Here is a 26,426-nt window from a genome sequence, read left to right as displayed (position 1 = left end):
ATCATATCATATACCAAAAACTAAAGGTCATGACACTAAAAATATACAACAAATAACCGGCTTTGGTTACAGGAAACAAAAACAGGCCCAGGATTCACAGATGTGTTTACTGAGTCTCCCTGAATTGACTGGGAGTAGGGGGCCTGGGCTCCTCTTTTGTGGATGGCGCTGAATGTCAGAGGGTTGGGGACAATGGGTGTGTTTGACCAGTCCTTCCTAAGTGCTGCGGGTGCAGCCATCTGACTCTATGAGCTCACCTAATCCATTTTGGAAGGGGGTGAGTTGCTACCACACTCTTGGTTACTTCATCCTTCTCTGGAAATTGAGTCCTAGACTTAGATGAGGGAGGATGGGCTGGTAGCAGCCTCCCCCATCCCATTCCACCCCACCCCACCCCTATGGAAAGGCTTTAGTGGCCTTGGGGTTATATGGAGCTGTGGGCAGGAAGCCCTGCACCACTCCTTCTCTTCCAGGGGAGGGAGGGAGGGAGCACAGGCAGCCCCAGTGTCTGGCCTTTCAAGGGTCTGCTGTGCCTGGTAGTTGTTTAACCCCCTCTTCATCTGACTCCACAAAGGGCTGGAGCCATCTTCAGTCTCCAGAGTTCTTGGTGATACCAGTTGTCCCTGTTCTCAGAGAAACCTTACTTCCTCTGGGTCCCCAAACCCAGCTTAATTAGTAGCAAGTAGCTTTCCTTCAAACTGTTAGTGGCCTCTGGCTCTGGCCAGCAATGGCTGGGTCAGTGCTCAAGGGGAAGTGGAGGCGAGGGGTGGGAGAATTCACACACATGGTTTATTTGGTTAAGAGAGGCAGTTGCGTTAGTTGAGGTGATCCCTTAGCAGCAACATTAGAGAAATCCAAGAGATTTATGGAGCTCAACTCAACCCAGTTCTCCACCTGGTCCGACTCAGGAGCCAGGAGCAATCCCTCTCTACGAGAGAGGCATCCAATGAAGTGCAAGCCCAAAGTGGCCAGTTCATCTCCAGCCTTGCTTCTCCTACATCCCAACTCCAAGATTGAAAGGCTTTGGTGCCTCTGTGGGATTTTCCGAGTGGAATCCATTCCCTGGCCTCAGCTGTCACCCTCTCTTTTCCAGAGACAGATCCATGTTCCAACCTCACAAACTTAACGTGCTAACACAGTACACATCTAGCGCTTTCACAAGGACAACCCCTCTCCCTTGCTGGTGTTCTTCCCAAGAAGGACAGATACTCATTTCCAAAGGAGTGTGTGGCAAGGGGCTTCCTCACTGCCCCAACCTCCCTCTCCTCTCTTCCGTCCTCCCCCATATCCCCATCAAAGTGATTGAAAAAATGTTTAATTAACTTGAGCTCAGTTTAAAAGGTTAGGAAACTGGCAGGGATCCAAATCCATGTTACACAGGTGATGTCGTTAATTTAATTTGCTTTTCGTGCAGTAATCTGGATAATTACTCAGTAGTTACTGGCAAAAACGTTTTCTTTTCACTAAAAGATGGAGTCTGGCTGTTTGACTGCATGAACCCCATTGGCTGAGCCCCAGCAAGGCCTGGGGAGCTGAAGGGGCCCAGCAACCCACAGGGCCAGCTCAAAGGACCTCCAGGAGTGGGTGGCCCTGGCCCCCATCCCTGCTTCCAGGCCTAGCAGAAGCCCAATGCTTCCCTGCCTCTATCCCCCTGGGACGGGCACAGCACGAGATCTCCTTCCAGTTTCCCACACTCTTGATTGTATTTCAAGACAGAGAAAGATGAAGGGTGGGGAAGATACAGAAAAAGAATCCAAAGAACCAAATCAAGAAAAAAAGAGAGAGAGTCAAAAAGGTGGGGGTCATGATTAAAAGCTGGAGGAAGAGATGAGAGATTAAACGACTGGATTTGCTTTTGCCCCCACCCTCCTGAAAAGGGGTCCAGAAAGAGGAGAGAGAGATGTGGATGTGATGAGACAGGGGCACGCACGTGCATGTATGACCTGTGGACATACATGTACGGACACACCGGCAGGGCAGAGACACATGGCAGAGACGGTAATACCTCAGAGTGAGATGGCAACGAAAGCACCTGCTCAATGGTATCCATTTGTAAAGGCCGTTGCAATCAAAGGTCCCTAAAATTGCACAATTGTTAAGGTCATCAGTGTGCTATACATGGGAACAGATTGTCATATTCTGGGAAAGGAAATTATCTCTAGGACTAGTTCTGTGGTTGCCAGCATGAATATGTAATTCTGAGACACCGTGCCATGAGGGGCCAGGATGACATCCTCCTCAGCTCCAAATCCCTAGTCCCCACTCCCTCCGCCCCTACCAAGCCTATCTGCTTACCCCGGGGGAAACCAAAAGCCAGATTCAGAGGCGTGGGTGGATGGTGGGAAACGGGGGTTTGTGCCCCCAGTGATGGGCATGTTGCCCTGAACCCCAGAGTGCAAAGATAAGTCTCTGTCCGCAGTCCCAACGGCTCTAGCTGGGGAGAAGAAATCCCAGTGCAGACAAACTGGGATGCTTTCTGGTTATTTCAGAAAAACATCACAGCCCACAGGTCAAAAGACCCCGGTTTTCAAGAACAAATTGGGTCTGTGTTTCTGGATGCTGAATATGGAAATAAGTTGTGTTATAAGTGGTGATAGACGGTCCCCTAAATTGAGCAGCTCTCAGGTGAATAATATTATTCTGGATTTGGTACCACAGTTGATCCGAAGGGATTAGATTCATCAGACTACTGACTTAAGTGATACTGGCTTGGGAGCGGAGCTGAACAAGGACCCATCCTGCACAAGTAGGGCTGGCAGGCGTGTGTGCGCCTGTGTGTGCGTGTGTGCGTGCGTGTGCGTGCATGTCTGTGTGCGTGTGTGCATGCATGCGTGCGTGTGAGTGTGTGTATGAGGGAGGAGCTCCCAATGCCAGGGGGCATGAATGAGGCCACCTTGGTGCCCTAGACTGTCTGCACATGTTTTGTTCTCCGCAGCGTGGCCCCCAAGTCAGGGCTTGCCAGCTGTCACTCAGAAGCGGAGTCTGACAGGAACGTGGCCTGGGACTGCAGACGCACCCATCTTAGCTCAAAACCAAACTGCCTCCAAAATGCTGAGGCTGGCTAGGGCAAAGGTTGGCCAATTTTCTGTTTCCAAAATGGAAGGGACAGCGAGCAAGTGGGCTCAGGCACATTCATGCTCACACACACCGGGAGGGAGAAGAACAACACAATCTGAAAACAGCATGCAAATCTGTTAAGCAAATTTCCATTGCCTGGATTAGTCAGATTATAGAACCACAGAGCATTACAAATATCAAATGCATCTGGCCTTCAAGGGGTGGAGGCTGCAGCTAAGGAACGCAAATGGGAACTTACTTGGAACCTGGAAACTGTAAGAAACATTAGCAAAGGAAACTGCCTGGGAGAGGGCTTGGATCCCCACACCACCTCCCGGGCTCCAGCGCTGCCACTGGACCTTAGATCAGGGGCTCTATTGACTAAGGCTGCTACTCTGGTGGGGAGCTGGGACATTTCCCAGCTCTCAGGTCCCAGCCCACATGACAGTGTCCAGAAAGCGGGGATCAAGGAAGGTGGCCACTACTGAGGCCCTATTACGTGCCAGCGTGGGACACTGTTTCGAATAATCCTCCCACAATCTTTTGAGGAAAGCATAGAGATTCTGGTTTTGCAGCCAGGGAAATGAGATTCAGACGGGTTATCGAAGTGGCTCAAGGATGCACTGTGTGAAGGTGATGGAGTGGTGATCTGAACCGGACCTGCCCATGCTCCTTCTGCTCCATCACACAGCCACACGAGAGGCACCCAGGACACCTCTAAGACGACGGAGGCTTCAGCCCTCAGGAGCTGGTGTGATGTTGATGGGGACCCTCTGTCCTCTCCTCTGCCCCCGATGTTGGGCTTTCCTGGCACACCCACAGGCCACAAGGAGCTGGTCAGGAAGGAGGAGGCAGGAGGGCAGGGGAAGGCAGGTACTTACAGCTATGCCGTGGCCGAAGCCCGAGCCCGGCTGTGGGCTGGCCGCACTTATGTAATTCCCCACTCCGGAGTCCTGGCTGGCAGGGCCGTAGAGATCGGCGACAGGTCCTGGGCTGTTGGCCCCCGGGAAGCCTCCGGGCCGCGCCGGGTTGGAGCCTGCCGGGGAAGCGGGCGCGCCAAAATTCGGTTGAGCACTGTAGCTATTCAGGACTGGTGTGCAGAGAATAGAGCTGGGTATGAGGCCAGAAGCCAGGCATGCACCGGTCATTACAAGCCAAACACTTGAGAAAAACAGCTGAGGCCCAACTTCTAACACTCAACCAAGGCCATGCGAAAACATCAGCAGGGACTCAAGAATACTCAGCCCAGGCTACTACTAAGAAGCTTGGAGCTCCAAAAATATAGAGAATAAAAAAACAATCATTCAACACACTACGGCAACCAACCGGAGGTGCTTCACTGCCCACCAAATTATCACAATAGAAATAGAGATATATATGGAAGAGAGAGAGAGAGAGAGAGAGTTTTTTTTTCACATCTGAATTGATGCTCATGCAGTCTTCTAGATCTGGGCACGTTGAGACAGCATTCACATCCCATGCAAACTACAAAGGAACTAGTTTTAGACTACACATTGTGTTAATATTGATATTAAAACGTGACAGGAAACAAAGCAATTTGTGTCCAGGAAAAAAAAAATCTTTGCAGAGGGGATTTTTGATCTTTTTTTGTGTGTGTGTTTCACTTTTTCTTTTTGGTTTTTGGATCCATTAAATGACAAATTTGTTTTGTTTTTTTTTTTAAAAAAGACAAAAAAGATCTCCATTCTCCATCCCACCCCCACCACCCGCCCCTCCCCACTGGCTACTCCCTCCCTTCCCGCCCTTCCCATTCATAACACTGAATGAAAGTCATCAATACTGAACGTGGTCGGAGGATGGGATATGTTATGGAGAGTTTGGGCATCTTGACATAACAGTAATGATGGCGGCAGAGAGTTTCCTTTTGGGGTGGAGAGAAGGGGATGGAGGGAGGGATGGGGGGGAATGGTAAACCTGGAGGCTGGGGCCAGAGCTGGGGTGGAAGCCAATGGTTCTACAGGACACCCACACACTCACCTCCTGCAGGAGAAGGAAAGGGGGGATTTAAACTTTTTTTCCTTTTGTTTAAAAAAAAAAAAGACAAAGAAGTATGAATGCAGAACATACCGACTGAACCAATTCATAGCTAAACCATAGCTGACCAAAACACCTGCTTTCTCTTGGTTATCCTGCAATGTCAACTCCAGAGTGAGAACAGCAGGCTCAGGATGTACCTTTGCTACAGAGAGAGTGGACTTGACACGCACAAATCCAGAGAGTGGTGGGGTTGCAGATCGGGGGGCAGCGGAAGGTGACACTGCCTCGGCCCCCCCAATCCCATCATTCTGACCCTAATGAGGGCCGCAGCCTGTCAACCAGTTAACCAGGTTAATTTTGTCTCACCTTTATTTCTCCTTAGTAGTTTAAACTTTATTTTCTTTTCCAAAATGGAAAACAATATTTTTTTAATTGTTAAAGGAAGTTCTTACTGATTTTTAAGCCTCAAGGTGAGTCTGGGCTGGCTACCTTTGGGCTACGGCTAACCCGTCTTAAAGAACCAGACATTCTGAGAGTCACACTTTCACATCTTTGGCTCCAGAGGGCTGCTCCTTGCAACAATCACTTCTCCCTTCTGCCTCCCTTGGCTTCTCCCCCTCTGCCCTATGACCAGTTGCCTTCAATGGCAGAGGCAAAGAACATCGATGCAGGTGGGGTCACTCCTGGCTTTGGCCCCTCCCTTTCCCAGGGGCCTGTGATTTGAGGCCCTCAGTTCTGGTGGGCCTGGAAGAGCCAGAAGTGGATTGATTTTCACCCACTTGTCACAGGGATGGGAAGAGATTGATGAGGCACCCAAGGCACACTAGCAGGAGACTGAGACAGAGACACAAAGATACACGGGAGACCAAATCAAGCTGGGCCTGGCTCCTGACTCAGCAGAGAAAACAGAACTGAAGCCTCCAGATGCCCTTGGGGCGGGAAGCCCGAAGGTGAGCCCCTCTGAAGCTGTAGCTGAGAAATGAATAAACTGGCCAATGGAAAGAGCAGGTTAAAGAGAAAAGAAAAAAATAAATTATAGAGGCTTAGAGCAAGTGAACGGCTGATCTGGGAATGCGCTGGCAGAAAAAAGGGATGGAGATTTTTGAATATAGAAGATTCAACTTGCAGATAACACTTGGCCCTCTCACTCATGGAGGCAAATATGAAGCCGAGATATTCAAAAGGCGGTATTATCTTAGTCTAACACACTTTTTTTCTTCTGAGCTCAGGAAAACAGAAGAAGCTTGGACAGTGGACTCCTGGTTTTGTCCAGGCAGCTGAAACCCCTCCCTATACAAATAAACTAATTAGCCCGTTCCATTTTAGGCTAATAGGATGGGGTGGGCATGAGGAGGCGCAGTGGTAGACGGAAAGTTTTTTGGCTTCTTTCTTGTCTGGCCGGATGTGAACCCAGGAAGGTGTTGGGCAGGCCCACCTAACTAATGGGTGGGGAGAGGCAGGTTTAGGTTTCCGTTTCTTCCAGCAGGAGAGCCACCTAGAGACTAATCTAGCCAGCAGAAGCAGCCTCGGAGACAGGATGTAGCATGCCCACAGAAGGGTGCTGTTCAGAAATACCCCCTTCTGCAGGCTTAGATAGAAGACAAAAGGGCTGTTGGTATTATGCCCATCCTTGGCAACCGCTCCCATTCCTGTGTGTGGGGAGGCCTGTGGTTTCTGAGTCGGCCTGAAGGGAATTTCACAATAAGCAGCTCATCTTAGGTCTATATTACCCCTCCTTGCTCAGTCCTCCTCCATCAAATGACACTAAAATCACCGTGGAGAAGACACTGTATTAGAATGCAGCTTTCAAATCCCAAGTCCCGTTTTATTACGCACTTGCTCATCACGGTGCCGGAGCCTCAGCTCAAAGTCACCTTGCAGATGTCCCCCAGCCAGGGGTGAAAGACAGGGCTGCTGGGTCCCCACTAGAGGGCGCAGCCAGCAGGCAATAAGCACCCAGTTCTGGCTGGTCCCGCCTCTAGCTAGGCTTCTGGGCAGTGGAACCCGCACCCCTGAGGGCTGGGCGCATGGAAGAGAGGAGCCTCTATTTTCCACAGTCGACACTTCTCTCTGTCTGTCTCTGTGAGCAGAAGAACCAGGCTCCAGAAAGCATGTTAAAGTCCCCGAACGAGCCATCTGGAAACCCATGCATCTTTGAGAAGACTCATAAAAAGCAACGGCTCTGGCTGCTTAGGAGAGAATGGGGACTGCCACTCGGCACATAAACTTGTCAGTAGCTGTTCCTGCTGTCTGACAGTGGGAAGGCATTAGGGACAAAGCAATTTTCTTCTTTTGCAAACTCAGCGTAACTCCACAAACTGAACACTGGCTGGCTACGCAGGAAAGGGGGTCATTTGAGAACCCGTCTCCCTCTAAGAGGAGAGGTGGGGAGTGGGGTTGGGGGGTGGGGGAAGGCATGAAGCCAAATCTCTCACCTGAGGGTGCTTTCTGTGGAAGTCATTCTCCAGTCAATTCTCAGTGATCCTTCTAAGCGAACGGTGCCTTTCCCCAGGCACGGAGACTTATTTTGGGGGGCCAGAATTGGTCCCATATACCAGGATCAGCTTGGGAAGAGAGGATGGGACATGGCTCTTAGTGGGCAAGGGCACCTTGTCTACTGCTCAGCTAGGGTGTGCGTGTGAGGGGGCGGGGACAGGGAGCACACTTTGTTGAATAAATAAACAGTGCTGAGGTTTATAAATTGGATATTATGACTCCTGTCCCAGAAGAGGACAACGTCTTGCAAACGTCTTGGCATTTTTGCAGCAGGAGCTATGAGCATTAAGTGGCTTGGGACAAGCCCTGCTCTAGGATGGCAGTTTGGGGGCTCATTGCGGTGATCAGGTTCATTTCATCAGCAGCATCCATGGCAGGTTCCTCTTTGCCCCTCATCCTCACTCTCCAATATCCTCTGGGCTTTCCCAGTCAAGGTGGCACCCACAGAGAGGCAGCAATGATGTAAGGAAAGGGAGTACTGGACTCAGAGGCAGAAGACCTGACTGTGACCCCAGCTCTGCTCTTACAGTCAGGTGCCTTGGGCTAAGAAGCCACTCACAAGCCCAAGTCCTCATCTGTAGCAAGTGAGTGATGCTTTCCTTATTCAATCTGACTCATGGGACTGCTTCAAGAATGAAAAAGAGACAGAGCTCTGTAACTTGTCAAGTTTAAAACAAATACACCCTATTTCTGAAATAGTTATGTATGCAGAGGCCAATAAGGCAGGTACCACATGCAGATTTAGGAAAATCTGACATAGGAAAATGCAATTCACTTGCCATATGAATCAGGAGGTGATTGACAAAAAACCCAATTTATCCATTTGGTGCATTTAATCATCTTGGGCCTGAAGAAAGGACTCCTGGGAATGGGGACCAGAAAAGCAAGGACACCGATCTCACCGAGGACGGCAAGAGGAGATGCACTTGAATGAAAGTTGGTGGTATTTCACATTGGATAAAAGGAGAAACTTCCTGCCCATCAATAAAATACTCTGATGGCTGACCTAGGAAAGCCCAAGAATCTTATCCTGGAGATCTTAACAGAGACAGATGCTGCAGGCTTAGACTCTCACCTGTAAGGGTTGGACCCAAAGCTACTGGGCACCTTTCCCTTAGGGTTCTAAAGCAAGACGGGAGAGATGCCTGCTGTCTGGCCAGCATGTGGCTCTGCCCAACTGCAGTGACAAGGGGCTGGGCTGAGAGTGGAATTAGGCATGGAGGGTAGGGAAGTGGTGGTAGTCAGAACAGCCTCACTGTGGGTCTAGAAAAGGTATGGAAGTCTAGTCCAATAATTTCTGTGTTGTCCCTAAGTGATGTCACTGGACCTGAGGCAAAAAGCTAGAGCCAGGTCAATGAGGGGGGCACCTCTGGCTCTAAGGCCTGAAAATTGAATTATTACCGATTCAGAGAAAGCAAATGTTTACAAAATCTTTTCCAGATGAGCTCAGTTCACATACTTGGAACAAGCCAGGGGCCCACCAAGTTCCAGCCCTAGACCCAGCTCCTGGTGTGGTGGGTCTCACATTTCCGCAAAGGCCAGGGCCAGCCCTCAAGACAATTTCAGTCATCTGCTTTGTGAATTATCTGCTGCTGCCAGGTTTCATTTCAGGCAGAAGACCGCAGTGGCCCCTGGTACATTTCCGGGAGAGAGACTCTTCCCTGCCCAGCCTGTGCGTGTGGCTCGGGGAGGCAAATGCAATGGAGGGCCCACCTTTGCCAAGTCCAATTCAGAAGGGATTTGGGCTGACTGGTGTCACGGCCTCCATTCCCAACCCCTAGTCCCGAAAGGACGGAGGACTGAGAGCAGGAGAGGTCATAGCCTGTGTGATAATCTATGAGGGCAGAGGCTGTGTTAATCCATCACACTGAATTTTAGGAGTTTTTGTTTCAGAGAAATTTAAAGAAACTAAATAAAGTTATCACACTCTCCAACACACACCTCTACCTTCATCTTGTCTATATCATGCTTATATCTGCCTTGATTTAAAACTCCATAGTCGTAGGACTCTGTCTCCCCTATTAGCAAGAAACTCCTCCAGGCAGTTGGGGAACTCTCAGGGCTCTCAGGGAACTCTATGTTCCTAGTCAGAGGGCATATTCTCCAAAGAGTAAGAGCAACTTTCTGCCATTCCTCAGTGGACACTGGGTCCACAATGCCAGTTGGCTGTCAACAGTGAGGGCCTGCATCAGTCCCTCTGAACAGCCAGCCACTCTTTACTGGAGGGCTCTGAATTTCAGCAACTGGGCAGCCAAAGGCCTTCCTGGGGAACAGAATTGGGGACCCCATTCTGCAGTTTCCTTCATGTGTCCTCTGAAAGCAGTGCCCACTGTAAATAATTGCAGATGGTCAAATGGGAAAGGTCAGCATGAAAAGACAAAATCTATTTCTGATAATGGAAGGAGAATACTCGGTTATGAATTGGCATGTCTTGAGCAGAGCAAGGTAGGATTATACTTCAGGAGTCTGCCCGGCCAGCTATGTCCCAGCAATCCTTGGCTCAAGCTTTCCTTCTAGAGCTTAGCCTGGAGGTAGGAGAGACTGGTAGAGAAGATCGGCAATGATGTCCAACCTGGGAAAATTGTATGACATGCTAAGTTAAAATCAAATCAGTTCAGGGACCCAGATGCAGGGACAATCAATTTTATACACAATGTAGTTTTTAAAGCTCTGCTGAAATTCAGGCTATTTCAGAAGGGAAGGGGGAAAATACTTTAAAACTGGGGGAGGATTAAGAGAGCAATGTGATGGGATTTCTTTTTCACTGTCTGCATATACAAACAGATATATTACTGAGAGGTACAAACGCAGCCTGGTGTCAACATCATGCTAGTCTTGATGTATCTGGAGTCCCCTGGCTCCTCTTACACACTGCACGGGACACATGGTGAGTTGTCTGTGCATGCACTGGGCTGACAGGGCAGCCAGCATCACACAGACATTCCAAATGTCAGTGACAATGGCGCCAGTCTTATGATAAGTTGTAGTTTCTGCTTGTTCTCAAAACTTAACCTGATTCAGACCACTGAGGTTGGTGCTGATAATGTCTACTGGTTAATGTTGGCCTGTCTCAAGTAGGGAACTGATGGACATTAGCACTTAACACTTGTGAATTATTTTGTAGAAAGATCTTGGCTTCTGGTCAAGTCACACTCCCCCAAAACCCTCAGGAGATAATATCACTATTAGCCAGTTCTAAAACTCTCATATAACATGTCAGTGGTAAAGCTGGGGAAGCACACTACCATTCGGATTGGTGTAAGGAAAAAGTTCCAAACACCCAGAACCGACCTGAGAAAGGCTTTGTGGCTAGGACCATGCATTTGCTGTTGAGATATAATCTCAACAGTGCAGTGGTGTAATCTCGACTCACTGCAACCTCTGCCTCCTGGGTTCAAGTGGTTTTCCTGCCTCAGCCTTCTGAGTACCTGGGATTACAGGTGTGCGGCATCAAATCTGGCTAATTTTTGTATTTTTAGTAGAGACAGGGTTTCACCATGTTGGCCAGGTTGGTCTCGAACTCCTGACCTCAGGTGATCCACCCGCCTCAGCCTCCCAAAGTGCTGGGATTACAGGCCTGAGCCACTGTGCCTGGCCCTCCTGGTGTGTTTTTATTATCAGCCCTGATCTGAGTCTGTAAGTGTATCTCAAGCCCCAAGGCCAGGCTGGGTGGGTTCTGGACTGGCGGGTTGGGAAGGTGGGTGAGGGAGGATGGTGGTTAGCAGTTGACTGCTGTCTGCTCATGGTGTAAATTCTGGGGATGGAGCAGCCTTGAATGGGCTGTGGCCTTGTGGCCAGAGAAACCAGGCTTTTGTCATGAGGCCAAGGAAAGAACTTTCTGGAGCCGAGGTCAGTTCTCATTTCTCTCAACCCCCAAGGGCCCTGAGGGACTGGGCTTGTTTGCAGGTTTCCAGGAGGCAAGTGCGGAGGGCCCCGGGAAGGGAAAGGCCATGAGGCAGTCACTGGGGCCCTGTGCGGTGACTGGATATCACTCCTGCCTGGCATTGGCACGGGGCTTGTCCTGCTTGTGTGAACTATCTGCCAGGCTTCACCAGACCAGGCTTCGAGTCTCAAACGCAGGATGGTGTTCCTGATCCCTCTCCACCGTGAACGGATGCTTCAACAACACCTTACCCTGAGTCTCTAAAGCGCTTCAGAAGAGGAGGGAAAACCAACCCGGGAGACAAATGTTTATGGTTTGGCTGAAGCAGGCGGTGTTTTAACACTAACATCCTGCTGCCTCTTCCTTAAATTAATTGGCTTCAGACTCCAGGCCCACACAGGTTAGAATTTGCAAGGAATAACAGACAAGGAGGCTCCCCGGAACCTGCAGCACCCATGCCATGCTGCATTGAACCACCCAGCAGCTGGGCACGCAGCCCTGGGGAGGCGAGATGCCACCATCACCACTCAGCAGAGAAAAGGCAGAGAGGTGGCCCCTGTTGGGTGATACCAGAGCCTTTGCTTCCTCATCCAGCCCTCCCAGGTCTGAGACTCCACAGGAAATAGACAGGGAGCTTGCTGCCCGGAGACAACTCCCTACTGTCTCTTACAGTTTGGTGGCTCCAAGTTTCTCCTAGTTCAGTCCTGAAAATGTCCCTTGCTTTGCTTTGATCCATTGACTGCCTCTGTCTTTGAAGCACACTCGTCTCTTTTTTTCAAAAAAGAAGTCAGTTTGGCTTTTCCCCACATGTCGCCAGCCACCCTCTCATGTTGCTGCTCTGTGGTGTGCTCAGGCACCAATTCCCAACCTGAAAGCTACCTCCCTGCCTGCTACCTGCCAGGAGGCTCAGATCCTTGCTTGTGTCTTATAAGTGATTGCACTCACTGCAGGCCCAGTTTCTGCATGACAGACTGCTGCTAAAAGAAAACACTGTGAAATCCAAGGCTGGGACCACAGACTTACGAGGCAGCCTAATGTAGTCTTCTCAATCATGATGAAAAGCTATGTAAGAATTAGATATCACTCTGCCCCTGTTAGGCCTGATACTGGTAGGGACAAAACAGGGCCTGGAGGTGAAAACCAATGAGGCAAGAAGCACAAAGTTCTAGAAGCTGTAGCTTCTGCAGGTGTGAGGCTGGAAAGGGAACTCATACTTATGAGCCCCTACTGTGTTGCCAGGCATGTTGGTAGGTGTTTCACACGATCTTTTTTCATGCTCCGAACATCTTGTAAGAGCAGCTGTGTAACCCCTGTTACAGATAAGAAGACCAAGGGTTTGAACAGCTAGGAAATGTGTCCAATGCCACACAGTGTCTCAGACAGGACCAAATCTGGCTCTAACTTGAAGGCACATGCTTTTTAAATCATGCTGCTCAGTTGTCCCTTCTGGAATCACACTTTGACAAGGTTTCCTCTGTTTACTTGGATCTTTCTTTGCCCCAGAGAAACTGCAAATTCAAGGACACAGAATAGATTCTCCAGCCTTGGAGTAGAAGCTCCTAAGGGCTTGGACCCTGTTGCCTTTCCAAATTGGGAGCTCCCTGGCAGTGGAAACATCTCTTCCATCACGGTGGGGGTTCCCTGAGGTCAGGATCTGACTGCCCCAAGAGATACAGGACTGCCTCTCTCCTGAGGACTAGGCCACCCTCCACTACGCCACAGCCCAAAGAATAAGCAGACTTGCAGTACTGGTGGGGTCAGCGTGGAAGCAGAGAGGGCACTGCCAGAGGGAAAGTAAGCCCTGGTTAACCCTGGGCCCTCGCTAGAACTCCCCTCCCCCACCCCAGGAAAGTGCCTGGACCCAGGGGGCCACCCAGAGAGCTGATCTCAGTCCTAAAAGACCACTCCATTCTGCTGAGAGCCAAGTCCTTTTGGGAGCTGGCACACCCTAGGGCTGAACGGTATTTACTGCCCAATCATATCTAATAGAAAACTCACTGCTGGGGCTCTAGCAGGCAGGGGGCAGGGTGGGGTGGGGAAGTTATCCCAGGGGCAGCCCCTTGAGGACCCACACAAAAGACTTTCCACTTGAGTAGCTCCTTTTTAATAATTATAAAAGCACAGGAGTTTAATCCATTTTTGATGTAAGCACTAATAGTTCTGTGTCCTTGAAGTTCAAAGCAGGCGCATACATGTCACTAATTAGCCAAGCACAGAGCCATTCAGCTCCCTCTCATGTTTCTAATTAGGTCTTTAATAACAAACAAACTCCGACCTTACCAAAAGGCTCCCATTGGTCAGTCAAGGAGGGCGGCTGCTTCTCTGTTTACAGTTGCTGCAGGCTGCTAGTTCTACTGGTACATGCCCTTAATCTCAGCCAGGACTGGCCTGTCCTCGAGAGAGACAGGAGGGTCCCTCTATGAGGACAAAAACCCCTTGGTCCACCCTGGAGGGTGGCCTTCCTGACCCTGCTGGGAAGACTAATGGAGGCTGGAGAGCCGTGGGCTCCACAGCAGCAGGCTAGAGATCCCAGCCCCACCTCCCCACCTCCCAGTTAGAGGAGGCTGGGGTACCAGTGACAGCCACAAAGATGTTATGGAGCTTTACATCCAGCAAGAACATGATGATACTTGAGCCCCGTGTTACACACTGGGCCTGCCTGAGGCTCACCCTGCTAGATTCTGGTTTGATGGGTCTGTGATGCAGCCTGGCCACTGCACAGTTTAAAAACTCCCCAGGTGATCCTAACAGGATCAAAGTTCCTATTAGGAACAGCAGCAAAGTTCAAGAGCCACTGAACTGGCCACAATCTCTGGGTTGATTTGCTCATTGACAGCAGCTATTAACAGGTCCACTATTATTCATGAATACCATCCACACAGAATCAAACCCTAAGAGATTTAATCAACCACACCCAAGGATGGAAGTCTGAGGACAGATGTGTAAAATGATACACAGTTCTGGAACCGCTTCTGTCCCTCCCATTGCCTTCATGCATTAAACAATTCATGGCTGTTTTCAAATTCCCACGAAGTTTCCTATCACCTGGAACCTCTTGGCTTTCTCTCCACTCACTTCTCTCAGATCTTTTTTCTTTTTTTTTCCCCTTTTTTGAGAGGGAGTCTTGCTATGTCACCCAGGCTGGAGTGCAGTGGCGCACTCTCAGCTCACTGCAACCTGGGCCTCCCGGGTTCAAGTAATTCTCCTGCCTCAGTCTCCCCAGTAGCTGAGACTACAGGCACACACCGCCACACCTGGCTGATTTTTGTATTTTTAGTAGAGATGGGGTTTCACCATGTTGGCCAGGCTGGTCTCAAACTCCTGGCCTCAAGTGATCAGCCGCCTCGGCCTCCCAAAGTGCTGGGATTACAGGCGTGAGTCACCGTGCCCGGCCTGTTCTCTCAGATCTTAAGGCACTGTCACTGTCCCTGTTCCTATCTCCAAGGAAAAGGGATTTCCAGCTTTGGAAACAGCAGCAAAACAGAGCTGTAGAGCTGAAATGGCTCCCAAGGACCCTTTAGTCTGAATTCCTCGTTTAGTAGAGGTGGAAGCAGGCCTGGAACCAAGTCTTCTGATTCCCTACTCTGCCTTCTATGCTCTTATGCTGCCTCTATTTTTTTTTTTAAGCTGTTAATCATCCTCACTGGAGTAATCAACAAGGCAACCTCTCCCCCTAGGAGGGAGAAGGAATAGAAAGCAAGCCTCTCAGCTGCTTTAACTTCGAAGGCCAGGGCATGGGGAGCCACGGGGACAACCCTGAACACAGTGTAAACCTCCAGCAGATCATTTCCAAGCCTGAACGGAATGTGCCCTTTAAGCCAGATGGGAGGGGAGTCACTGGAGTCTTGGGGGCTACCTCCATTGAAGACTTAACGACTATTTTACACACCTGGAGCTGATCAATCAAAAGCCAGAAAACACAGAAGGACACAGCAAAACTGGACTAGGGGTTTCCTCTGACACCGGTCCATAGTGTCTGCTTTGCTGCTGTGTGTCTGTCTTTTCTCTGAAGGATGGTGACGCTGCCGCCACCTTTCCACCTGAGTCAGTGACGGACCCGGACTCCAGGACATCCTGGATCCTATGTCTGTCACACTGAGCCTCTCCTCTTCTCCCCAAGGTCAGAAGCCCACCCTCTCCAGGATATAGTCAGAAATAACTTCCCGAAAGAGGGGCGAGCGGGGCTGGGGTGCCTTTCCCGGCTACACAAGCCTCTGCCACAGGCACGCAGGCATCAAATGTTTACCACAGACCTGGGCAGACCATTTTATTAATATTAATAAGTAACCAGGAACAAAGGGCCCCTTTATTTTTAGCTTTCTCTAATTGTGTAGTAATTACTCATCTACAAAACAAATGAGGCCCTGCTCGCGGTTGCCATGGTACCGGGTGCCCAGCCTCCCTGCAGGATGATTGGCCAAGAAGCCCGCTGCTCCCGCCTTGGCCCCGCCCCTCCACCCCGCCACTGGCTCAGAGCAAAGCCCCAGCAACTGGGCAGCCAATCCCCTCCCAGCCCTAAGGCCGGGCGGGGCTTCCCAGCGACCTTCCAGAAGCGGTCCTCGCAGCCCACAGGAAAAAATGTTGACTCATCCCTACAGAGGACGTCTGTCTTCCCAGAGAAGCCCGCCCGTGCTCCATCGCCTAGTTTCTTCTGGGCATTGGCTAACTTCCCTCAGCCTTGTTTCAGCTAAAGGTTCCCTTCCAATAATTCTCTTCAGGCTGGCTTCCTCTTACACGACCACGCCTCCTCCCGGCCTCCTTTGTCTGACATTGGTCTGAGTGCATTCAGGGACCAGAAACCTGTCAGCCAAAGCCAGGCAGTGTCTGCAACAGCAGGAGCAGGTGCAAAAAATACTTATACCGCCTCCTGAGGCCACTCGTAAATGATTTGGGGTTATCTCCTCCCCCAAGGATAATGGAGAATTTAGTTAAGAGCAGCTGTGGTTTTTTCTTGAGTGTCTGTTTTAAGGTTGCAGAGCCTGGCTCAGCCATCCCAGGGCTGGTACGATGGAGCGTCCGCTGACAGTGGCTTAGAGGACAGAATGACGACAGGCTTAGGCTCAAATCCTGTCTCTGCCACTTCAGATAAGCTACTATCCTTTCCAAACTACAGTTTTTAAATCTTTAAAATGGGAATGAGAATGACAGTGCTCACTTCATAGGGTTATGAGAATTTAATGGGATAAGGCAGGTGGGCTTGACATGGTACTTGGCTCACTCATAATACATGTGAGCTATTATTATTAACATCTATTATCATTATTGTATTCAAATTGACTAGGATGTGTCTCTAGCATTCTATTGACCACTTACAAGATACCTTCCCCTGGAACCCTCTTAGCCTATACCACGGAGTGGCTGCCATCGTGGTGTTCTCATCCCCTGACAGATCTAATTTCAACAGCCCATCACAGCTGTTCAAAGGCATTATTTGTCTGCTTCCTGTTCTGTAGGATCCCAAGCTGGGAAGGGAGACCTTTTTAAAAAAATTAATATTAATAAGCAACCAGGAACAAAGGGCCCCTTCATTTTCTGTGTTTTCTAATTGCATAGTAATTACTTATCCATATGAAGAATGAGGACTAGGCTGACTTTGCCGCCGGGAGGCCTGATGGTTTGTATTGTTGGGGAAAGCAGGTGCCACCCGCAGACACATGCAAAATATCTTCCAAGGACCCATAATCTCACCTTTCATTCAGGAGAGCTCACCCATGAGGAAGAGGACTGAGGACATGGGCAAAGGAGGGGGTGCCCCAGGTAGGGTGAATCAGGTATGGCTTTCTGGCACTTTGAGCCAAATTTTGACAGAGAGGGCAAAGACAAGGACAGAGGGAAATGGAGTGGCAGAAAGAAAGGGGACAGTGGCCACCTCAAGGGCAAAGGAATGGGAAACAATAGCCCCAAGCAGGGAATAAATAACAACTTGTTGGCAGAAGCAAAGGAAAGTTAAGGGAACTAAGGCAGAGATTTGCCATGGAATGCCCTCCTGTGTCTGCTTTCTCAATGCCTCTCACTCCACACCCCTTGCTCCAGGTCACGAGCCCAGCCCCAGCCCCAGACCCCAGGATTAGGGGTCAGGCTGTTCTTTGTGGAGCTACAGCCAGGCTTATCTTCTTTAGATGGTTCTGTCCTTACTGAGCGCCACTTGCATGAAGAATACGAACCTCCCTCTCCTGTGACTATATCAACATGGCTTTCAAGATCTCCCAGAACCTTGACTGTCTCTATCTCTTCAAGCCCATATTCCCTGCCTAGCAGACAGCTTCCCACTCCAAATTCTCCAGGCCCTGTGTCATGTCTTGCCTCCTCCACTAAGCTTCCTGCCTTCTGGGTACTCTCTGACCTTGTAGGAATCTATCCTTATTAAAGGCTAGCTCTCACATCGGTTGTGTACTTTTGTCCTCCCCAGAGGACTGGAAGTCGGCTAAAGGCAAGGACCATGCCATGGACTTATTCTGCAGCCCACCCCAGCCCCTAGCATGATGTTGAGTCCAGAGTTAATCGTCTTATGGATAAGAGCAAAAGGCCTACTGCTTCTTGAGCAGCTATATACTAACATCTATGGAGTGTTTACAATGTACACGAATTATCTGTAACTTGTCCTCCCACCTCAGTCCTGCGTCTTGAATCCATCCTGGACAATGTTGTCAAAGCTTGTCTAACATACAAATCTGATGTCAGTTCCTAGTTTCAGGCCTCCCATGATCTCACAGGCCCTGCCCATGTAAATCCAGTCTCCTTAGCGTAGTACCAAGGGTCCCCTGCTCTGATTCTGCCCAGCTCTCTGGCTTTACCTACAGTTACTCCCCTGTTGCATTTTATTCTCCAGCCAGAATAAAGCAGGGCCTCCACCTCACTCCATTGTCCCGAGGTCTGGTGGCTTTGCCCATGATGTTCCCCGGCCCCCTGGGGAGCTCCTATTTGTCCTTTAAAAGTGGAAATATTCACTCCCCTGTGAAACATTCCCTGACTTCCCAGACAAAGCTGATCACTTCCTCCTCTGTGCTACTTCTGTTCATTGGATAGGCTTATGTTACCGGGCTTATGGCATCCTATTGTAATTACCCATTAGTTTCCACACTAGGTTGGGAGATCTTCAATGGCGTGGAGACTGCTTAGTATTTATCCATGAACTTCCAGGAACTTCCAGGGCTGTGGTGGGCATCCACTGGTTGTCTCTCTGGCATCATTCTTCCTTTTCCCCTCTTATCAGCATGCAGGTTTTCCTTTGGGAACCCATCCTTACACCACCGTGTAAAGAGCCATTCGGTTTAGAGGGGGTGGATCCCACCCTCAGTGACTGGTTTTGTAACCCCAGCCTTAGCCAAGCAGCACAAAGCTCTGGACTCTTCCTAGCATTCCAGACCATCTGACTCCCCTCTTCTGGACAGGACGGTATGATGCCAGAAACTGCTGCAATCATTTTGCCACCATGAGGAAAACCAATATAAAGACAGTATTGAAATGAGAAGGAGGGCGAAGCTAAGAGAATTGCAGAAAAAGGATCCCTGAACAAGCCAGGCACGAAGCCCACTCTTCTATGGAGCTTCCAGGATGTCAGCCAATAAATCCCCCATAATATTTAATTCCCTGTAACATTAACCTATAGTGTTTAATCAGAGTTGGGAGGTTTCTGATACAGTCAAAAGCACCCTTGAATCAGGCTTAGGACAGTACCTACCACATATAACAATAATTACTATTGTTATATACTTAATAAATATCTGCCACATTCAACTCCATGGCAGATGTCCCGTAGGTCCAGTTCTGAAATCTACATCTGAAAGATCAGACTATGAGGTTTTAGGCCAGAGACTGAGCGCTTGGCCTATATAGAGCTAGAAGCTGAGGCTACTTGGGCTGTCCCTACATGGGCTTTTATTTTATTTTATTATTTTTCCTACATGGTCTTTATTCCTGCTTGTGCCCGGTGTCCTGGGGGGCAGGTGTGTCCCTCATAAAAAACACGGCTTCTCCAGAGGGCTACTTAAGGAGGCCAGAGACCTGGGTTCAAGTCCAGGGTTCTTCACCTTTAACCAAAGCCTTGCTCTCCGGTAACCAGGTGTGTGATTTTAAATAAGTCACATGGCCATTCTGTAGCCCAGCTTTCTCACAAAAACAAAACAAAAACATGCTTGTAAACCAGGCCACAAACTTCTGCCTTCCTGACCGTCTCCCAGGGTGGCTATGGTAATATACATCACGGTGTATATCTGAAAGTCAAAACTCTGCAGAGGCCAGGCACAGTGGCTCACACCTGTAATTCCAGTGTTTTGGGAGGTCAAGGTAGGAGGATCATTTCAGGCCAGGAGTTTGAGACCAGCTTGAGCAATATAGTGAGACCCTGTCTCTACCAAAAACAAACAAACAAAAAAAGAAAAAACAAAAAACACACAAAAAAACCAAAGCCGGGCATGGTAGTATGAACCTACATTTCCAACTACTTGGGAGGCTGAGGAAAGAGGTTCACTTGAGCTCAGGAGTTCAAGACTGCACTTCATTCCAGCCTGGGCAACATGTGAGAGTCTGTCTCAAAACAACAACAACAAACCAACCAACCAACCAACCAACCAAATAAAAAAAAAACCTCTGCAAAACACAAGCAACCATGAATGATACACCCGGGCACATGCTCCTTGGATGGTTCTCACCAACCTGCAGGTTGATCAGCTTTAGGGGCCTCCTAGACCCTGCAGTGCCCCCACCCAGCCCAGGGTGCAAGGAGCGGGTCTCTAGACCCCTCTCTGTTGTGCTCTGCGCGCCCTTATGGAGCTATGAAGGACACCACCACACTTTCCACCCCTGCTCCAGACAGCTGGGCCTGAGCTCCTGAGCCCACACAAGAGCAACGACCAACCAGCTCAGGGGGCAGGCAGAGATGTGTCAACCACTGAAAATAATTCCACTGATTTGAAAGACCATTAACATTCCCCCACTCCATTCACTTTAGGATTAACTTATACTTAGGTCTGGGCTTCAAGGCTAGTCACTAATTGCACTAGAGTTGATTTATCAAGTGCACAGTATTTCTATTACAAAATTATTGATTAGAGCTGATGTATTTTATCCTCAACAGGTTTGGTCTGAAAGCCCTTGGAAAATGAATGAAGCTGAGGTCAGCAGCGGGCAGCTGTCAGCATTATTATAAATTCACTGGGGTTACTGAAATCCAATGCTGGACTCTTTATGGTGAAAGTCCTGGCTCTCCCAGAAATGAACATTTTAATGACAAACTGGGAAACGAGGTATCCATCCCCAGAACACATGGCAGTAGACTGAGAGATGTGTGTTCAGGTAAGATCCTTTGGTAAGTCTGGTTGTGGTGGCTGGCCCTAGTGGGTCAGAGATTTGTTCTCCCCCTGGGCCACTACTGGCTGTATTCTATGGCCACAGATGTGGCTTTGTCTTAGCACAAGGGTGTCCCCATGACCTTACCCACAAATGGACCATCTTGGGTCCACAGCCCCCAGAGGATGCTTGCTGCTAGCACAGGAGGCTGGGTGAGGAAGCAGAGATGGAGGCACTGCATCCCCCGCTCCGCCCCCCATCAGATCTTGCTCATGAAGCACAGGAAAGCCATCTTCAGAAATGAAGGCACACATTGATCCATTTTCCTTTTTTAAATGAAGCTGACAGTGGTCATTCTGAGGCCAGAAACAGTGCATTGTGGGAAACACGGACTTTCAGAGGACAGGACCAGAGTCTCAGGCCACTGAAGGCTAGAAATGCCATCTGCCTTTATATTCCTTGGTGCTTGGTACAAAACAAATCCTTAATAAATACATGTTGAAAGCAATACCTGGGAACCCTAAAGCTTATGGTACAACTGACCCAAATAGCTCCAGGATCCCTCCAGCAAGTGGAAGAGTGTATGTGGGACACTATCTTTCATGTCCCCCAGCCCCTAACATATATAAGGCAGAGGCTAGCAGTGGGGACACAGAAAACATCTTGAAGGGGGATTGGGATGGGCATATCTACTTCTTGAGATCTATTCTCCTCCCTAAAGCATTTTCTCTTCTGGTTCAAGTTAAACTATTTATTCCATCCCCTGACTTGCATTTTACTTTTGCTCATTTTACCAACTGGAACTGGAGCTCTTAGAATTTCCAGCCACAGGGCAGCAAAGCCATTTTCCTAGCAGAACCAGACCTGGGATTTAGGCCAGTGGGAGGGGATTTTCTGCTCTCTCTGCCTTCTGTCCCTACCCTCTTCTCTTACTCCCCAGCCTCGGGCCAATTTGCAGCTTCAGCAGCCCTGAAGCCTGACAGTTCCAGCCATCTCCCTGTGTACCTCCCTCACCCGCACCCCCATGCAGGCCAAGCTAGAAGAACAGCTCCTTCCAGATTTATCTTCCTGGGCCTTGGCACCCTCATCCTGTTTGGTGGCAGACTGGCCTTACTCACATTCAATCCTTGTTCATTCCGATTCTGCCACCAATTTCCACAGCATGGTACATTCTTTCCACAGCGCTACCATTTTGCTCTATCTCTACGCATTCTCTCAGGGGACTTTATGGACTCCGACGTTTTCCTGGGCTTCTGTCTCCCACAGTAGATAACTTGCACCCTGAAGGTTCAGATCCCACCTGTGTTCCATCAATGTTCTTGCAGCACTGGGCAGAGCCACCACATCCTGACTTAAAGAGCAGGTTCCAGGAGGCAGGCACTACTCACTCAGCATCAACACGTAAAGAGTAGGGACACCTCCAGAAGCTCTGAGAGACCTCTGGCACTCCCTTATGGCTTGTCACCACAAATGTAGGGAAGATGGCATGTCCAAAGATGACTGGCAGCACGTGCTCCTGTTCTAAGGGCACAGGCTGCAGGACTGCTCCTTTCCCCTCTAGGGAGCCTTCCTGGGGAACTGGAGGAAACTAGGGGTGGTTCCTCTTGGATGTTCCAAGCCGACCTCCCTTTCTGTCTCCACGAAACTGTGCCAGTCACCTCCATGCTAAGAATGTCACCACTCTCACCCTACTTAACCTTCACCAACCCTAAGAACAAATAGCAATGATTCACTAGGGCCAAGTGCATTCCCTGTCTGCAGACCAAGGATCTCAAGATCTCAATCCCTTCCTTACCATGTCTCATTTCCCCTCCACCCCAAGAAGTAATCCATATAGACAGGACTGCCACATAGACCCGTATCCCTGAAGGGCTGGCTGTGACCTGCCAAAGGACTCAAGGAGTAGAAGGGCTTGAAGGAGTCTTGCTGGTAGGCCTTAAGAAATAAAAAAAGATCTGCTCTGTTCAAGAATAGTATGAGAAAGACAAGAACAAGGAAGACCTTTAAGACTCCTTCCAATCCTGGCTCCATTTTTGCACTATAATTGGACGATATCAACAGAGACCTCAGTGAGGAAGGCTAGAGCTGAGGGTGGTGACCCAGTTCTGGACTGGGGGAACGGGGAGTGTGAGGGGAGGTGGTGGTGGCTGATGGTGAGAACATGGATCCAAGCCCCTTGGAAACATTGAAAATATGGAGCCCCTTCTCTTCCTGGTCCCCGCACTATCCTTCAGACGGCCGTGCTGTGCCGAGCCGTCAAAGACCCTGTAATATCAACTCAACAATGCATGTACTACAACTACAGCTACGGCTACCAGTACATCTACTACGGTGCATGCATTTAGTTCAGTCCCACAGATACATACAATCTAAGAACAGGCAGGGGAGGTGTGAAATGTTTTACTGGACAACAGGTGTTTTGGAGTTGTAACTAATAAAAAAAATCAAAAACGAAAGTGTACAAAAAAAGACATTTCTTGAGAGTTGGATATGAGTTTGTTTCTTGAACTGTTTCATCTGAACAAGCAAAAACATGCAAACCAGCTGGTACTAACAGGAAGCTGGACACTGAGAGAGGATTAATAGGTGTGGACAAACCTTCCCGCTGAGCGTGCTCAGAAGAGTGTTTGAGAGGAGGTGTGCAGATCCTAGCGTAAGAGAGGCGGGAAAGTATGCCTCAGAGACACTCTCACCGCAGCCCCAACCAAGCAAGAGAAAAGACAACAGAAATATGACTGCTCACACTCACCACCACCATCAGGAGCTCATGTTACTAGATTGGAATAAAGCTGGCAAGTATAAAGTACAGTAAGGGGTCCTGGCTGGGGCCGGGTGGGTGGGGAGAGGTGGGACGGGGTGGTACCAGGGGCTCAGAAGCTCTAAGATTGATACACGGACCCACCCATAATGTCACCCCAAACTAAAATACCCTGAATATCCAAACCACTTCCCTCACCTGTCGGGGGAGGCTTCTGTCAAACTGAATTTAGGTTTGGGTGGGACATGATGGGGCCACTGGAACTGAATGAATACGATCAAAATAAACAAACAAACTCTCGACTGAGCACAAGAAAAGATGACATTTCAAACTACCAGGTGAAGGGAAAAGAAAAGTGACCACTGATAGTGAAGTTATCTAGGAGTCGGCAGGGACCTCACCTGGTGGGGTCCCCTGAGCCCTGCTCACCTCAGGTCCTAGGGGAATTAGGAACAGGTGGGCAGGCTGGCCCAGAGGAGTTGGCTGAGGTGGGCACAGACCTCAAGGCCCCCCCAGACCTCCTACCCTGACACCATAGCCCTGATGGATCCAAGTTGCCACCCTGAGCAAAAACGAAGCTGCCTCCCACCCCACGGCCCTCAGCAAGTGCTTCTCACTTCAGGAAGCTTCCCCTATAAGTCATAATGGAAGGAAAAAAAAAAAAAAAAACCCAAACGTTGGAGCTAGACAAAAATCAAAGACAAAAAAAGGGCCGTCCATAGGATGATGTCTGATCCCTAAATGAAGCCTGAGAGCCCCTGGGGAGCAGAGGCCACGTTTTCTACTGTTTGGAGTTGCCTGCCAGGTTTAGCATGGTACCAGGTTCAAGGTAGGTACTCAACAGACTCTCCCTGAATGTCTCCCTGTGTCTCCCTATAAGGGAATGCAGTTGAGTTCATGCTGACCTGCAGTAGTTGAGGCTGCAGGAGCATCCTGGGGAGGAGCTGGGGTGAGTAAGGGCTTCAGGAGCTGGGGAAGGTGAAACTAGGCCATCAACACCCAGTGAGCCCTCTGTGGCCTAGACTGATGCACACACCCAAGTGAGTCTTTGTGGTCTTCGAAATTCAGAGCAAAGAGCTTTTGCCACGGAGAGGCCACCCACAGGTAAATAATTGGCCATCCCATCAGGCTTGGCTTCCCGATCATTTTCTAGAAGGAGTGAGGTGACAGTCCCCTTACTGGCAGAATGCGTTAAAAGAAAGAAAGGCAGAACGCTTCCTTTCCCAAACCTGTAACCCTGTTCCAGGTCCAAAGTGGGGCTGAGGAACTAGGGTAGCCTGGCTACACACAGGCAAGTGTCTTCCTGCCTAGGCAGCGCTCTCACTATGGTGGATACAGTCTAGTCATTGCCCTGGGGCACATCCCAAGCCCCTGACACACCCTGCCCGGCAGCACTGCAGGGTTGCCCTGTAGCTTCCAGGCTGACCCTGCACCCTGTGGGGCGGGGCGGGCACCTCGGAGTTGAGGATTTACTCCTTGCGCTAACCCAGGCTGGTGTGGGCAGGTGGTCTGGGAGCACACTCCTGAATACAGTTCACTAACAGTGCAGCGATGAGCATGGCTGACCTAGAATGGGCTGGGAGAGACTTTGCTCCTGATGGAAATGGCTACAAATCAAACACCATTGATCCCGAAAAAAAAAAAAAAATGTGTGACTGGAGATGACCTTGGGGGTTAGGAGTTAGAGGGATGGGTGGGACTCCCACCTGGCTCTGGGAGTCCATGAGAGGGTAGGGTGGCAGAAGGGGGCACAGACCGTGGGAGACGGCTCTCAGACTCATAAAGAACCCCATGCTGCCCTTTAAACTTGCCATGAAGTCAAGGAGAACGGGGTGGGGTGGGGAGAGAGGCAGGGTTAATTTTGGGTTAAAGTTTAGTTTCATAATCCAAGTTATAAAAAGAAAGAAACTGAACGGAGAAAACAACAACCAACAACACTCAAAAATCTCAAGAGTTTTCTTTTATCTTTTCCCCAACCCCAGGCACAGGTAGGGCCAAGGCTTGTTTATAATGATACCAAAAAGCACTCAAGTTAAAAAACCAAATGGCACAGGGAGACACGAGGCAGCTGTGCACCCCGCCCCCGGGGCCCGGGGCTGGGGGGACTGAGGGACACTGGCCAGAGGGCAGGTGGGGCCTTTGGACACTGGCTGTGGTGAGCAGAAGCTCAGGAAGGGGGCCCCACTCTCTGGACCTGCCTGCCAGTCTGCCCACTTGCTAGCTCTCTGGCAAACTGACCCTCGGCAACCCCTGAGAACTCCCTAGCCCCCTCCAAACAAAACCCCAATGGGATGATTCGGGGGAGTGGATCCTTTGTAGCTCGAGGCAGTGCCAGTTTGCATGGAACGGATTTTTACTGAAGTTTTCTAATGGGCCTCACTGTGCCAACTTCTCATCACCCAGGGTGTGGGTTCTTGGCATTTGCCCTCTGGGCTTTTAATGCTCTATTTCCTGGTACCCTCACCAGCCCCCCACCCTGCCCAGCCCCACCCTCCTCAGAGCCCTGTGACATCAAACTAGGCGCTTCCCTGGGTGCTCCAGAGCCCTGTCCGTGGGGCGTGGGGGGACAGAGCTGCAAACCATGACCACTCAGTTCAGGGAGCAGGGGTGGGGAGGGAGCCCAGGGCACAGCAGAAGCCCTGCTTGCCTGGGAAGGCAGAAAGCATTCTGGGGAGAGGGACAAAAGGGACCCCGGGCACCCTGGACATATCCCAGCTCTGGCCTGACCCCATGATAATGCTGGGAAAGTGTTCCCATGTCACTTGAGGGGTTCCAGACCTCCAAAAGGTTGGCTTTGGAGACAGAAGGACTGGAGCAACCTCATGGGACAGAAAGCCCAATTCCCTTGGCAGCTGGAGCTGAGGAGTCTGGCTAAGAAGAGTCTGGGAGGCACAGCGGCTCCAGAAACAGCAGCTTCATTCACTGAGGCCCAGGGCTGGTCCCATG

General features: G+C 49.9%; 1 protein-coding gene across 10 annotated transcripts in view, besides 4 other annotated features; it reads right to left on the bottom strand.

The window, feature by feature from the left end:
- MSI2 (musashi RNA binding protein 2) overlaps positions 1-26,426 on the bottom strand; it is a 445,731-nt gene that overhangs the window by 22,517 nt on the left and 396,788 nt on the right. For 3 of the 10 annotated variants that reach the window (XM_005257015.4, XM_047435312.1, XM_047435315.1), the window contains one exon: positions 3,939-4,147. The exons of 2 other annotated variants lie outside the window; for them this stretch is intronic. In XM_005257015.4, the coding sequence (XP_005257072.1) occupies positions 3,939-4,147 (209 nt within the window). Of the gene's footprint in view, positions 1-2,005; positions 2,079-3,938; positions 4,148-9,136; positions 23,371-26,426 lie in introns of those variants that run through there. 5 more of the 10 variants (XM_047435311.1, XM_047435316.1, NM_001322250.2 and 2 more) reach the window with 4 other exon arrangements.
- Positions 2,354-2,853: an enhancer, noted in NCBI's record as "H3K4me1 hESC enhancer chr17:55753573-55754072 (GRCh37/hg19 assembly coordinates)". NCBI's record gives its function as "activates a minimal SCP1, AML or CMV promoter by ChIP-STARR-seq in naive H9 embryonic stem cells {active_cell/tissue: H9 hESC(naive)}" and the evidence as "EXISTENCE:reporter gene assay evidence [ECO:0000049][PMID:30033119]".
- Positions 3,122-3,191: a silencer, noted in NCBI's record as "silent region_8750". NCBI's record gives its function as "represses an Ori minimal core promoter by ATAC-STARR-seq in GM12878 lymphoblastoid cells {active_cell/tissue: GM12878}" and the evidence as "EXISTENCE:reporter gene assay evidence [ECO:0000049][PMID:35858748]".
- Positions 14,026-14,632: an enhancer, noted in NCBI's record as "H3K4me1 hESC enhancer chr17:55741794-55742400 (GRCh37/hg19 assembly coordinates)". NCBI's record gives its function as "activates a minimal SCP1, AML or CMV promoter by ChIP-STARR-seq in naive H9 embryonic stem cells {active_cell/tissue: H9 hESC(naive)}" and the evidence as "EXISTENCE:reporter gene assay evidence [ECO:0000049][PMID:30033119]".
- Positions 15,811-16,103: a silencer, noted in NCBI's record as "fragment chr17:55740323-55740615 (GRCh37/hg19 assembly coordinates)". NCBI's record gives its function as "represses an EF-1alpha promoter that drives an FKBP-Casp9 reporter gene in an ReSE screen in HepG2 liver carcinoma cells {active_cell/tissue: HepG2}" and the evidence as "EXISTENCE:reporter gene assay evidence [ECO:0000049][PMID:32094911]".

Source organism: Homo sapiens, chromosome 17 (assembly GCF_000001405.40).
Source record: "Homo sapiens chromosome 17, GRCh38.p14 Primary Assembly".
Classification (NCBI taxonomy): domain Eukaryota; kingdom Metazoa; phylum Chordata; class Mammalia; order Primates; family Hominidae; genus Homo; species Homo sapiens.
The sequence above is the reverse complement of the archived record's forward strand: the minus strand, read 5'-3'. Positions and strand labels throughout refer to the sequence as shown.